Source organism: Homo sapiens, chromosome 13, assembly GCF_000001405.40.
Source record: "Homo sapiens chromosome 13, GRCh38.p14 Primary Assembly".
NCBI lineage: Eukaryota > Metazoa > Chordata > Mammalia > Primates > Hominidae > Homo > Homo sapiens.
In genome coordinates, this window is record NC_000013.11 from 93,106,351 (window position 1) to 93,119,711 (window position 13,361).

Below are 13,361 nucleotides of genomic sequence, written 5' to 3' on the forward strand. Positions count from 1 at the left end.
AGAGATGACAAGGAAACTGATGCTTAGAAATATTTAATGTCGTGCCCAGAACCAGGTTTCCCAATTCTAGTGCTTATTCAGTAACCTAAATGAGCATTTCTATACAAACACACTCTAAATTTTGCTAGCTTCTTTATTAACACATCTACAGTTTAATCGACTTTGACATAAAAGGGAGCTGCCTTTCCATCACTTCTATTCCCATGAAAAAACAATATTTATAAACTGTTAACATTTCATTTCATGTGTTAAAAGCTATCCCAATCCAGTTGCTGTCAGCCAGCACTCCAGAAGGTAAAACGCAATATCCCCAGATTGTTGTATTTCATGTCATGCCTACTGCCTCACAGCGCAAAGCAGACAAAGAAAGTTGATGATTATTTAGTACGAACAGAGAGACAAATCATGCAAATCAGACTAAATAACACACCTTCAATTATGAGGTGTTTCAAATATTCAGATTTCCTTCAAATATCATTGTCTATATTTTTATAAGTTTTCCCCCTTTATGAGCTCTGGGTTTAACTTATAGTTTTTTTGAAACTATCTTTAATTATTGTTCTTTATACAGTCATGTGCTGCATAATAATGTTTCAGTCGATGATAGATCACATATACACTGGTAGTCCCATAGGTTATAATGGAGCTGACAAATTCCTATCACATACATACTTGCCATTGTCTTAGTACTTTCTTACACTATTCAGTACAGTAACATGCACCTGAGATATAGTTAACTTGTATTTTGAGATCTTGTAAAGCACAGGTTAAGTTTAAAGTGGTTACCAAGTGTAACACTGGGATATAATAAGAAATGTGTACTTGCTTTCTGTCCCCAGTTTCTGGATCACAACTCCTTAAAACCCTTGGAATCTCCAGAGTGATAGAAGTGTCTTTTGAATGTTAATGAGTAAACTGGTGGCTGGGGGCCTCAGATAACATTAGGATGAGGGCAGGCCATGAAAAAGATCATGATTAGAGACTTGGGACTATCAGACCCACCCCTCAATTTCTGGGGAGGAGAAAGAAGCTAAGGTTGAGATGATTACCAATGGACAAAGACATAATCAATCATGCCTGGGTAACAAAGCCTCCATAAAATCCCGAACAGGCAGGCGGAGTTCAGAGAGCTTCCGGGTTGCTGAATATGTGGTGATGCCTGGGAGATGATGTGCCTAGAGAGGGCATGGAAACTCCTCACCCTTTCTCGCTTTGTCCTATGCATCTCTTTCTTTTTTTTTATTTATTATTATTATACTTTAAGTTTTAGGGTACATGTGCACAACGTGCAGGTTTGTTGCATATGTATACATGTGCCATGTTGGTGTGCTGCACCCATTAACTCATCATTTAGCATTAGGTATATCTCCTAATGCTATCCCTCCCCCCTCCCCCCCACCCCACAATAGTCCCCAGTTGTGATGTTCCCCTTCCTGTGTCCATGTGTTCTCATTGTTCAATTCCCCAATTCCCACCTATGAGTGAGAACATGTGGTATTTGGTATTTTTGTCCTTGCGATAGTTTGCTGAGAATGATGGTTGTCCTATGCATCTCTTTCATAGGGCTGTTTATCTATATTCTTTCTAATATCCTTTATAATAAATAGGTACACATTCGTAAAGTGTTTTCCTGAATTATGTGAGTCATTCTAGCAAATTAACTTGAGAATGGGGTCATAGGAATCCCCAATTTGTAGCCATTTGGTCAGAAGCACAGGTCACACAACCCTGGGCTTGCTATTGGCCTCTGAAATGGGGTTGGTCTTGTGAAACTGACCTTTAACTTGCGGGATCTGACTCTGACTCCTGGTAGATAGTATCAACATTGAGTTAAATTGTGGGACTCCCAGATGGTGTCCACCAGAGAATTGTTTGGTGTGCAGGGAATCACCCCCACACATCTGGTCACAGGAGTGTTCTCTGTTGATTGTCAGAGTAAAGAGAGAGACCAAAAAAAAACAAAACCAGTTTGGTGTTTTTCTCTGACCAGAAAACGTAAATATGCACATAATTTGATTGTGTACTAATGATATTTTAATCTCCTGAAAGATGGCATGCCCGAATATGAGTCATGTTCTGTTAATAGAAGATAAGAATGTCCCTGAAAGTTATGTGTCTGCCACAAATTGTCTTCGTGAATGAACATTAAAACTGAATGAAACTCTTGGGAAAAACATCCAAATGAAAAGTGAGAAATCTAGTCAACCATCTGGTACTTTCATATGTGATGCCAAACATCCAGATACTTGCTAAATTCTAGATGAGCACTAGCTGTCATTTCATTATAGCTTGAGTTTTGTTTTTTTTTTTTTTTTCAAATTTCAGATGATTCTAGTAAAATGTTGACTTCCAGAGATGATTATATATCCCTAAGGTAGTATATCATCAATAAAATTAGGCTTTTAGTTTTAGTATTGATATTTTGAATAAACCTATCATTAGCAAATACCAATTCTCTTGTCGAAAATACTACTTAAGCAAAAATTGTCATATGTGATCTGAAGATGAGGTTTAACTTTTGTGAAAATATAGATGCAAAAATTTAGACTGTTTTTTAATCTTTTTTTACTAAACAGAAAAAAAGTTTAATATGTCATGTTTACTAATAACAATAGTGACACTTAGTAGCCCTGATTGAGCAGAGTTCTGTCATTAAGACAACTGTTTCACTGTCACCCATCCATAGAAAATAATTTGAATGAATCATCTAACAAATGTAGACACAATGATGTTGAGTTTATAAAGTTCTTTAAAAATAACAAGACACCCCTAGTGACACCCGTAAATTTTTTGATAGCTCATCTAATCGATATGTGCTACTTATTATTATATTATACTCTATGGCCAGGAGTGCTTACCACTCACCAGTAACAAAAATTAATGATAAAATGCTTTCTCAAAGAAAATGTTATACAATGCTTTCAATTTACTTCTTGGGTTATTTAAACAAGCTATTCTTTCTAATTAATTAAATATTATTATATTTTTCTGAAATGTATTTCAGAATGTATAGTTTTAAAATTTATTTAATAAAAAATAAAAACTTATATAGGCTTTCAAAATTAGTATTACCCAATGTCTTAAAGTAAAATGCATGACTCTAAAAATGATTGTTTGAATTATTATGAAATAATATGTAATATTTTAGCCCAATCAAAAATCAGTATACTTTTTAATATTATTCAGTGTTGAAAATCAGTATAGTAATTTTCAGTACATGTATAATAATATACATGTATTGCCAGTACTCTTAGATCTGCATTGATTAATACAGTATCCACTAGCAACATGTAAATACGAAGCATATGAAATATGGCTAGTACAACTAAGTAATTGAATTTTTAATTTTATTTAATTTGAATTACAACTGAAGCATTTTAAATTATTTTCCTGATAAACACAATATTGTTGTAGAACTTTATTGTACTTTAAAAGTTGCAGCACATTAGATATTCCTGTATTGTGTGTAAGTGGGGCACATGCTTCATTACTAGTGTTCTCCATGAACACATCAACAATCTAATTGATGTCAACAGATTGTGATAGAGTTTGGATATGTGTCCCCTCTAAATCTCATGTTGAATTATAACCACCATTGTTGGAGGTGAGCCCGGGTAGTAGGTGATTGGATCACAGGGCCAGATTTCTCATGAATGGCTTAGAGTCATCTCTTTGGAGATAAGTGAGATCTAGTCATTTAAAAAAGTGTGGCACCTCCCCCCAGTTCTTGCTCCTGTTATCATCATGTGGCATGTCAGCTCTCCTTCCCTTCCACCATGATGGTAATCTTCCTGAAGCCTCACCAGAAGCCAAGCAGATGTCAGTGCCATGCTTCCTGTACAACCTGCAGAACCATGAGCCAATTAAACCTCTTTTCTTTATAAATTACCAAGTCTCAGGTATTTATTTATAGCAATGCTAAAATGCAAGAATGGCCTAATACAGGTTGGTTCAGTTGGAATATTTTTTTCTTTTCTTTTCTTTTTTGAGATATAGTCTTGCTCTGTTGCTCAGGCTGGAGTGCAATGGCGTGATCTTGGCTCACTGCAACCTCTGTCCCCCACCCCCACCCCGCTCCCCCTAGGTTCAAGCCTTTCTCCTGCCTCAGCCTCCTAAGTAGCTGGGATTATAGGCACGTGCCACCATGCCTGGCTATTTTTTGTACTTTTAGGAGAGACGGTGTTTCACCATGTTGGCCGGGCTGGTCTCGAACTCCTGACCTCTATGCACCAGTAAAACATTGTAACATGTTTGCTTAAATGTTTCTTACAGTCAATAGGAATTACAGTGATACCTATGTAAATTATAATTGGTAACTGATTTGAATATTCATTACTATTATAATTATAATCAATAATGTATTTTCTAAAATGTGTATGCAGAGGTTTTTTTTTTTCAGTTTAAAATAAAGGCACACTATTGATGCATAATCAAGTCAAGATGCAGAAGTTCATGTTCCAACTGAATCAGTGAAAAAAACAAGTCTGGAAGCTGTTTTGAAATTTCTTGATGAAGGAAAATGGCAAATTTCTGTGGTAGAGCAAATTGAAAAAGTCCTTAGTTGTGTGAAAATATCTTTCAAGACAATAAAATGCCCAGTGCAAAAAGATGTTTTCTGCAATTACTTAGTGAATGTAGTAAGAACTTTGCTCTCAAATTGTCAAAATTAATCACCTAAAATCCTAATGAAAATGTCAAAATTTTTTTCTATTAATTTTTGAACAGAATTAAACTTGTAACTTTAGGCAACCATAATACAGCTTGGATCCTTATATATTTCCAAAAATCCAAAAGCCTCCAGAATTCAAAACATTTTGAGCACAGACACTACGCCAGCAGTGGGAAATTCCACTCCTAACTTCATCAAAAGTCACAATAAGACAGTCAAAACTTTGTTTCTTGCACAAAATTATTAAAAATACTGTAAAAAAATTACCTCCAGGCTATGTGTTTAAGGTATATTTGAAAGATAAATGAGTTTTGGGTTCAGACTCGGGTTCCATCTTCAAGATATCTCATTATGTATATGCACATATTCCAAAATACCAAAAACCCTGAAATCCAAAACACTTTTGCCCTCAAGCATTTCAGGTAAGAGATACTCAACCTCTATTAATAAATCTAGAGTTGACTTTTAATTTGTGCAATATCCCTTTGAGTGAGTTTGATGTAATAATCCTGAGCTGGAAAAAGAATTAGTGAATTTACCGAACATAGACAGATATCATTTTAAAAATAATATGCTTTTATTTCAAAGTCTCAAAGTTAAATCAATTTTTCAAAAAAAAAAAAAAAGGAAGAAAGAATCAGCTTGGTAAGGGTAGATGCAACTAGTAAAGGAAAGTGCTTTTTTTCTTTTTTTTTTTTTTCTGCCGCCCAGGCTGGAGTGTAGTGGCATGATTTTGCCTCACTGAAACTTCCACCTCCCAGGTTCAAGCAATTCTCCTGCCTCAACCTCCCAAGTAGCTGGGATTACAGGCACCCACCACTATGCCCAGCTAATTTTTGTATTTTTAGTAGCCATGGGGTTTCACCATGTCTGCCAAGCTGGTCTTGATCTCTTGATCTCAGGTAATCCACCTGCCTCTGCCATCTAAGTGGTGGGATTACAGGAGTGAGCCACTGCGCCCGGCCAGAAAGTGCTTTCTTAATACTTGGTTTTGTGGTTAGAAAATGTTTAAGTATGTCTGGGACAAGTTGAATATAAATATGTAAATCTACTTTTTCAACTGCAAATTTTATGAAATCTTAATATAGATCATGTATTTCTGATGAAAATGTAGTGACTTAAGTGAGACGTGCTGTAAGTACAAAGTGTGCCACAGATTTTGAAGACTTGGTAAAAAAGAAAGAAAAGCAATATATCTTAAGTTGAAATGATAAAATGTTGGATATATAAAATATGTTGCTAAAATTAATTTCTGCTATTTTGTTTTACTTTTTTAATTTGGGCACTAGAAAATTTATAATTACATATATGGCTATCATATTTCTATTGGAAAGTACTTTCTTAGACAAATGAATAAATTACATTGTAAAAACATATAAAATATATTTTGTATTTACGTGAAATGCACTTTCTATTTGTCCTAGTTTCAGATCCTGGAAAAGTAGTTGGACAAGTCCTTTTCTTAGCCACATTATAGTATAAAGAAAAATTTAAATAAATTACCGCTTTAAAGCTCATATTTTTAATTCAAAATTGCAGTACTTAATTCAAAGTTAAAAGGTTGATTGTAATTTCTATGTTAGTGGTCTATAGATTTTAGTGATGGTATAATCAACAAAAGCATAATACAGTATTTTGGAATTAAAATACATATAACATTTATTCAGATGTGAAATGTCACTAGATAATATGTTAAGATTCCAAGAAAATTGACAAAAATAGTAGAAACTAGAATTTAGGTATATTCGCTAGTGACCCTTGATTAATTTATCTTTGAAAATGAAATTTTACCTAGCTGTAATAAATTTTATAGGGTTTCAGTTTCAAAATGACTATGACATTTGCTTCAGACATCAAGACAGTTTCCCATTATTCCAAACATTTTCAAAGGAAATGTAAACACTTTTCACCAGACAAAAAAATTTTTGAATACATTAATCATGTCTTAAAAAAAATACATATGCATCAGAGATACCTATAGAATGCATGGATCTTATTAGGAAATAATAAAGGCAAATGCTTCTATTAAATAATTTGTGCAGTAAAATCTTTGTTTGCTTGATTTTTGCTGATATTCACACTCACCGCTTTCTACTTGACCAGATACAGAGAGAGAAGTAAACTTCTGAATATTGTGAGTAGTCTCTTTTTGATTTACAAATCAGTTTATTTGATACCATCTCCACTATTTCAGATCCTGGGAATTTATTTCCACAATCATGCCTTTCAACAATTTATAGAAATTTGCAGCTCAAAATCTTACAGATTACCTTGTCCAACCCCCTTTTTTTACAGGTAGGGAAGCTGAGGTCCATGGATGATAGCAACACTTCATTAGTCAATTAAACTGGAAAAAACAAAACACAGAAACGCTTTTCCAGGGGGCAGGATTTTTCCCAATAAATATATCTTGCTGTTGATCCACACCCTTGTCTTTATTTCTCTTCCTCCTTTAGGACGGATTGGATTTTTTAATCCAGAGTGAAAAGTAATTATTGTTAAAGTTGGCAGCTGAGGAACTGGGGTCTTCATGGAATGGAAATCCCTTTTTCAGTGTGGACATGCTAAGGCCCTGTCCCTGTGCAAGGAGCTCACTGCCATGCACTGATTCTTTCCTGGAGGGTGGGCCCAGCCCCATAAAGAGAAGAGAGAGATTTCTCCATAATCCTAAAATCACTTTTTCTGTAAAGCATGTAGGATCAGAGGACCTTCTGACCATCCTACTGATACACGTAGTTTGTCTATTCATGTTTTTCTTTTGCTTACTTCTCTTCATGCATTTAATACTTCCATGGCCGTGTTGCATTTCTAATGTTCCGAAAGAACGGCCACAACGTTTGAAAAGTAGTGAAGTATTCGATCTAGTGCTTGACTTAACATATCCAAATCTGCTTTTTCTAGATCTGTAGATGACTGCCCAGAGTGCTAACAAATATACATATATACATTTGATATTTATTAACACAAAATGTTTCATTTTATGTTTTGTACTCTACTCACAATATGACAATAACAGGCTTTTTCTTTTCATAAATTAAAAGTAAAATATCAATAATGGTACTCAAAGCCCATATGAGGCTTTTTTTTTTCTTTTGGATATTTGAAGACCATTCACTGCCTCCCAAAGAAATCAAATAGCTCTTCAGATTCTAAGTTTGGCAAGTTGGAGAAAACAAAACATTTTGAAATATATTGTGGATCTGAGCAAAGTTTTACGGATTTCATTTGTATTTACTTTTATTAAAAAATCGCAAAAGTAGAAAGGTGTCAGTAATTATCATCTACCAATTACAGTAAATAGGAGACAAACTTGTTAAAAACCAACAATATCAGATTAACATAAGACAGAAGATAACCTTGCAGATCAGAAAACCTCAGGTGTTCTTATCAGTGAAAACAATTTTAAGAATTTCTAAGCAAAATTATCTGTGTTCCATTTAGGTTGTTTAACTTTTATCAAAAACCGCATATAAATGCAAAGACATACATAAATGACCATGTTGACTTATGATTTCAAGCCTTTGCTAAATCTTCCTTTAAGACCAAAATGTTACTTTTAAAAAAAAAAAAGCACACAGATGCTTTCAAATTTGTTGTCATTGCAAGAAAAGTCTGAGATGTGTATTGAGCATTGGCATAAGCTTAGTTGGCTGGCATCAGAGTTAGTAACAGGTGGCAGAGTAAGCAGTAAAATTGCAAAGGCAGAACTGTTTGCATTTCCTGCAATATCATATCAATCTTTTTCTAGTAAGTATAATTCTGGTCATTAGAATCATTATTTTGTTTTGTTTTTTAATGGAAGCCCAGAGACACAAGAATATTTATGTCTTATTGTTAATAACTTATAGAGAAGGTTTTTAATCTATTATATCAGAAATAGTAATGGTCACATTTGTGTATCCTATGGTGGCATACAATTCACTTCCTAGGCATCATTTTATTTTTTCCCACTCTAAGATGTGAATCTGACATCCTTAAAGAATAAAATACTATATTATACTAGGGTTGGGAACAGGCCCCCAAATCTGGCCATAAACTGGCCCCCAACTGGCCATAAACAAAATCTCTGTGGCACTGCGACATGCTCGTGATGGCCATGATGCCCATGCTGGAAGGTTGTGGGTTTACCAGAATGAGGGCAAGGAATACCTGGCCCACCCAGGGCGGAAAACCACTTAAGGCGTTCCTAAACCACAAACAATAGCATAAGCAATCTGTGCCTTAAGGACATGCTCCTGATGCAGATAACTAGCCAGAGCCCGTCCCTTTATTTCGGCCCATCCCTTTGTTTCCTGTAAGGAATACTTTTAGTTAATTGATAATCTATAGAAACAATGCTTATCACTGGCTTGCTGTCAATAAATATGCAGGTAAATCTCTGTTTGAGGCTCTCAGTTCTGAAGGCTTAAACCCCTGATTTCCTACTCCATACCTCTATATTTCTGTGTGTGTGTCTTTAATTCCTCTAGTGCCACTGGGTTAGGGTCTCCACGACTGAGCTGGTCTTGGCATACTAGCAACTTCTATCATCAACTAACCTTCTCATTGCTGTGTGCTTGATTTTTAAAAATATTGCATCATTTTCCCAATTTTATGGATTGATTGATTGATTGACACAGGGTCTCTTTCTTCCAGGCTGGAGTACGGTGGCACAATCATGGTTCGCTGTAACCTCAAACTCCTGGGCCCAAGCCATCCTCCCACCTCAGCCTCCTGAGTAGCTAGGACTACAGGTGTGTGTCACCACATCCAGTTAATTTTTGTATTTTTGTATGAACAGGGTCTTGTCACATACCCCATCTGTTCTGAATTCCTGGCCTCAAGCAATCCTCACCTTTTAGCCTCCCAGCTCACTGAGATTATAGCATGAGCCACCACATCAAGCTTATTGAAATTCTATTAGTCCAAATTATTGCTGTTACAAACACGTAGAAAATATCTTCTACATAATATATTTGAAATTTTATTTGGAACAATAATATATATGTTTGGATTATGACTTAAATGTGTTTAGAATTATTGCTTAAAATTTACATTGCTATTAAAATTAGAAATGCAAGAAAAAAGTTTTTGTAACAGCAGTATAATTAAAGTTAATGTTACATATTTATAAAAATGTAGATGTTTATTTTAAGTCTAATAGTAGAGAAAAAGAGTTATACATTGTGGTTATGAAAAGAGTATAGGTTTTGAATTTAGATAAAGTCTTCCTTTTATAATTCACTTATCTGTAAACCTTACCTGAATAAAGGAGGAAACCATAACTACTGAACAAGGTAGTGAGGGGAATTACATGGTTTCTTCTGAAGGCTGTGAGGGCAGCATCCATTCCAGGCTTGGCTTGTTGGTTTACACATAGTCATTTTCTCCTCCTTCTCCTCATCAGGTCTCCCTTCAATGTATATCTCTGTGTCCAAATTTCTCTTTTTATGAAAACACCAGTCATATTGGATTAAAGTCTACACTCATGACCTTATTTTAACCTGACCTCTGTAAAGACCCTGTCTACACATAAAATCACATTCTTAAGCGCAAGGAGTTAGGGCATCACCATATGAATTCAACCCATTACAGACAGAAACTGAAAAGCGCTTAACCCTGTTTAAGAAAATAAGATAAGAACTAATAATTGATATAAGGCGCATTTTAAGTTTGGATTCTGCATTAAGCATAACAACTTGGATTCCAGTTAGTTTTAGCTCCATTAATTAAGACAAATGGGTGCCTACTACAGTAAACTTAGCTATTGGAGTCATGCTGAAATTTGTTATAATCCATGTCTTCCTTTTTCTATTACCATTTTATTTTTTACCATCATTGTGATATATGTCTATTTTTCCTGTCTCTGCTCCTTATAAATCAATTGTATCTTGTAAGATTTTGAATTTTCTGGTGTGGAGAATAAATCTGAAATAAAATGAAATACTAGTATGTAATCTTTCATGAACATTTTGGCTCACATCCATATTATTGGTCTTAGTGACATCCAGTGGCCATGACGGGTCAATGTCAGGATTTCAGATCTTTCCAGAAATGTCTTTACTATGTAGTCCTCACCTAGAACAGAGGAAAAATAGTATATTCTTAAGCCATTGGTTAACATAGTTGTAATTAAATATCCCCTGGTCTTTTTTGATTCATAAATTGAACTACCTTTTAGATAAAAATAAAGATTATTACACTTAGTTTTATTTTACTTCACTTTTGTCAATGACTTAGTGTCTCCCATCGCTTAAAAATATTTAATCTACAAAAGCTATTTAAAGAGAAGTTCTAAACAGACAGGATTTTATACCATTGAATAGTATTTTATTTTCACACATCTCTAAGTTAGAATATTTTACTAAAATAAAATGATCAAATATACTAGTAATGGTATGTATTTTCCTAAACAATCAAAATTGTCCTGTCAGGTAATAACTTTAAATATCACGTATCTCATTAGAATGTAGTGAAGAAAGTTTGTGCTGAGACGTAATTATTAAGGTCTGACTACGCTTCAGGGGCTAAATTTGGAGAATGAAGAACCAGACTACTGCTTGGTTACAAAAAAAAAAAAGTTCACTAAATGTATGTTGCAAATGTTTGTGCCTTGAGGAAAGTTTAGTCCTTTTGGCTGAGTTTCAGATAATAACAACGCTGATCTGTATTATAGTGATAAGCTACGAACTAACTACAAATAATGGTTACCTAGTAATTTGTAGTTTAAAAAGTCAATTATGCAAATTTGCACATACAAAAAACCTATGGGGAGTTGGGAAGTAAATCTTTCTTTCTAACTAATAGCAAAGTAGCCCATATTCAATCTCTTTTGTTATATAGTACAAAGCTACAAACCTACAGAACAAGCCATAAGATACTCAGTGCATACTTGCCATGAATAGAATTTAGCAATATGATACAATTTCACTAGGAAATTTATATACATATATGTACACACACACATATATGCATATATATATGTATACACACACACATATATATAAGATCTTCAGTTGAGTATATCATTAAATGCTAGGCTCTAAGAGAGGTATAGAAATAGAGTGGAGGAAAAATGGCAATGGGTCACAGTAATTACTAAAAGCTTTAGGAGACAAGAGTACTATTCTTAAAATAACCATAGGGCTTTGGTTATTGAGGAAAGGGAGAAAGGAAGCAGCTGAATTTAGGGAAGGGGATGTGGGTAAAACCTGGAAGTGAGGCACAGCTTGTGGGGATGGCCAGGGAAATATTCCGACCACATGTGCAGCTGTTTTGGGAGGAGCAGGATGCTTGACAAACAAGTGAGGGCACCAGTTGATTTGTGCCTTGACCAAAGTCTGACTGCCAAGAGGAACAAGAAGTCTTGTGGATTTTTAAAGAACAATGACATGATACAAGCAGCATGGAAGAAAAAAAGTTTATGAGTCAAAACAAAGATGCATTGTGTTCCTCATAAGGTGAACATTAGAGGAAGCCAAGCACAATCTCGTGAAAGCTTAGACGTTGGAAAGAAAGGAAGATTCAGAGTCTCCAAAGCACTAAATGAGTTTGGTGATTTGCAGCCTGTGGAAGGTACAGGTCAACAATAACTCAACAAGCCATCCAAGATATTGATTCTGTGAATGTTGCTGCTTTTGAAAGAAAAGGGGAGAGAAGATGGGAAGGGAATTTTTTTTTCTTTTTCTTTCTATTTTTTTTTTTTTTTTTTTTTTTTGTAGAAAGAAACAAAGCTTGGGCATATGCAAAGGAAAAGTCCTGTAGGAACTAGAAGTGTTAAAAATTGGAGCCAAAGGTGAGAATGACAGCCAAAAGACTAGACAAGACAGTAATGACTCCAAAGGAATAATATAACATGGAAACCAAAGATTAAGCTTGGGCCAAAAATGAGGTAGGGAGAGGAATGGTTAAGAATTGGAGAAGAGGCTGGGTGTGGTGGCTCATGCCTGTAATCCCAGCACTTTGGGAGGCCAAGGCAGGCCTATCATGAGGTCAGGAGTTCAAGACCAGCCTGGCCAACATGGTGAAACCCCGTCACTACTAAAAATACAAAAAATAGCTGAGCATGGTGGCGTGCATCTGTAATCCCAGTTACTTCTTGCAAGGCTGAGGCAGGAGAATCGCTTGAACCCAGGAGGCAGAGTTTGCACTGAACTGACATTGTGACACTGCACTCCAGCCTGGGCAACAGAGCAAGATTCCATCTCAAAAATAAAAATAAAAAAGAATTGGAGAAGAAAGTTAAACAGAAAACTGAAAAAAAAAAAAAAAAAAAAAAAAGGAGAATGTAGTGTCTCAGAGGTCAAGAAAATCATATTTTTTAATAGAAAGGCAAATAGATACAATCGCAGTAGAGAAATCAATGAGAATCAACACAGGCCTTCAATTCAGTTGGGGCAGGAAGAGATGAAGGAGATGGAGTCTGCTGTAATTAACTTCAGAGGAAGTGTTTTCATGGAATGATTGGGTCCCATCCAATTTTCCGAAAATTGAGGGGGAAAGATGTTATTGAGGAAATTTATGAACTTAATTGAATAAGACCTTTATATTAGGCTGTTCTTGTATTACAATAAATACCTGAGACTGGGTAATTTATTTTTAAAAGAGGTTTAAAGGTCTCACAGTTCTACAGGCTGTACAAGCATGGCACCAACATCACTCCGCTTCTGGGGACGACTCAGGGAGCCTTTACTCATGGGGGAAGGTGAATCAG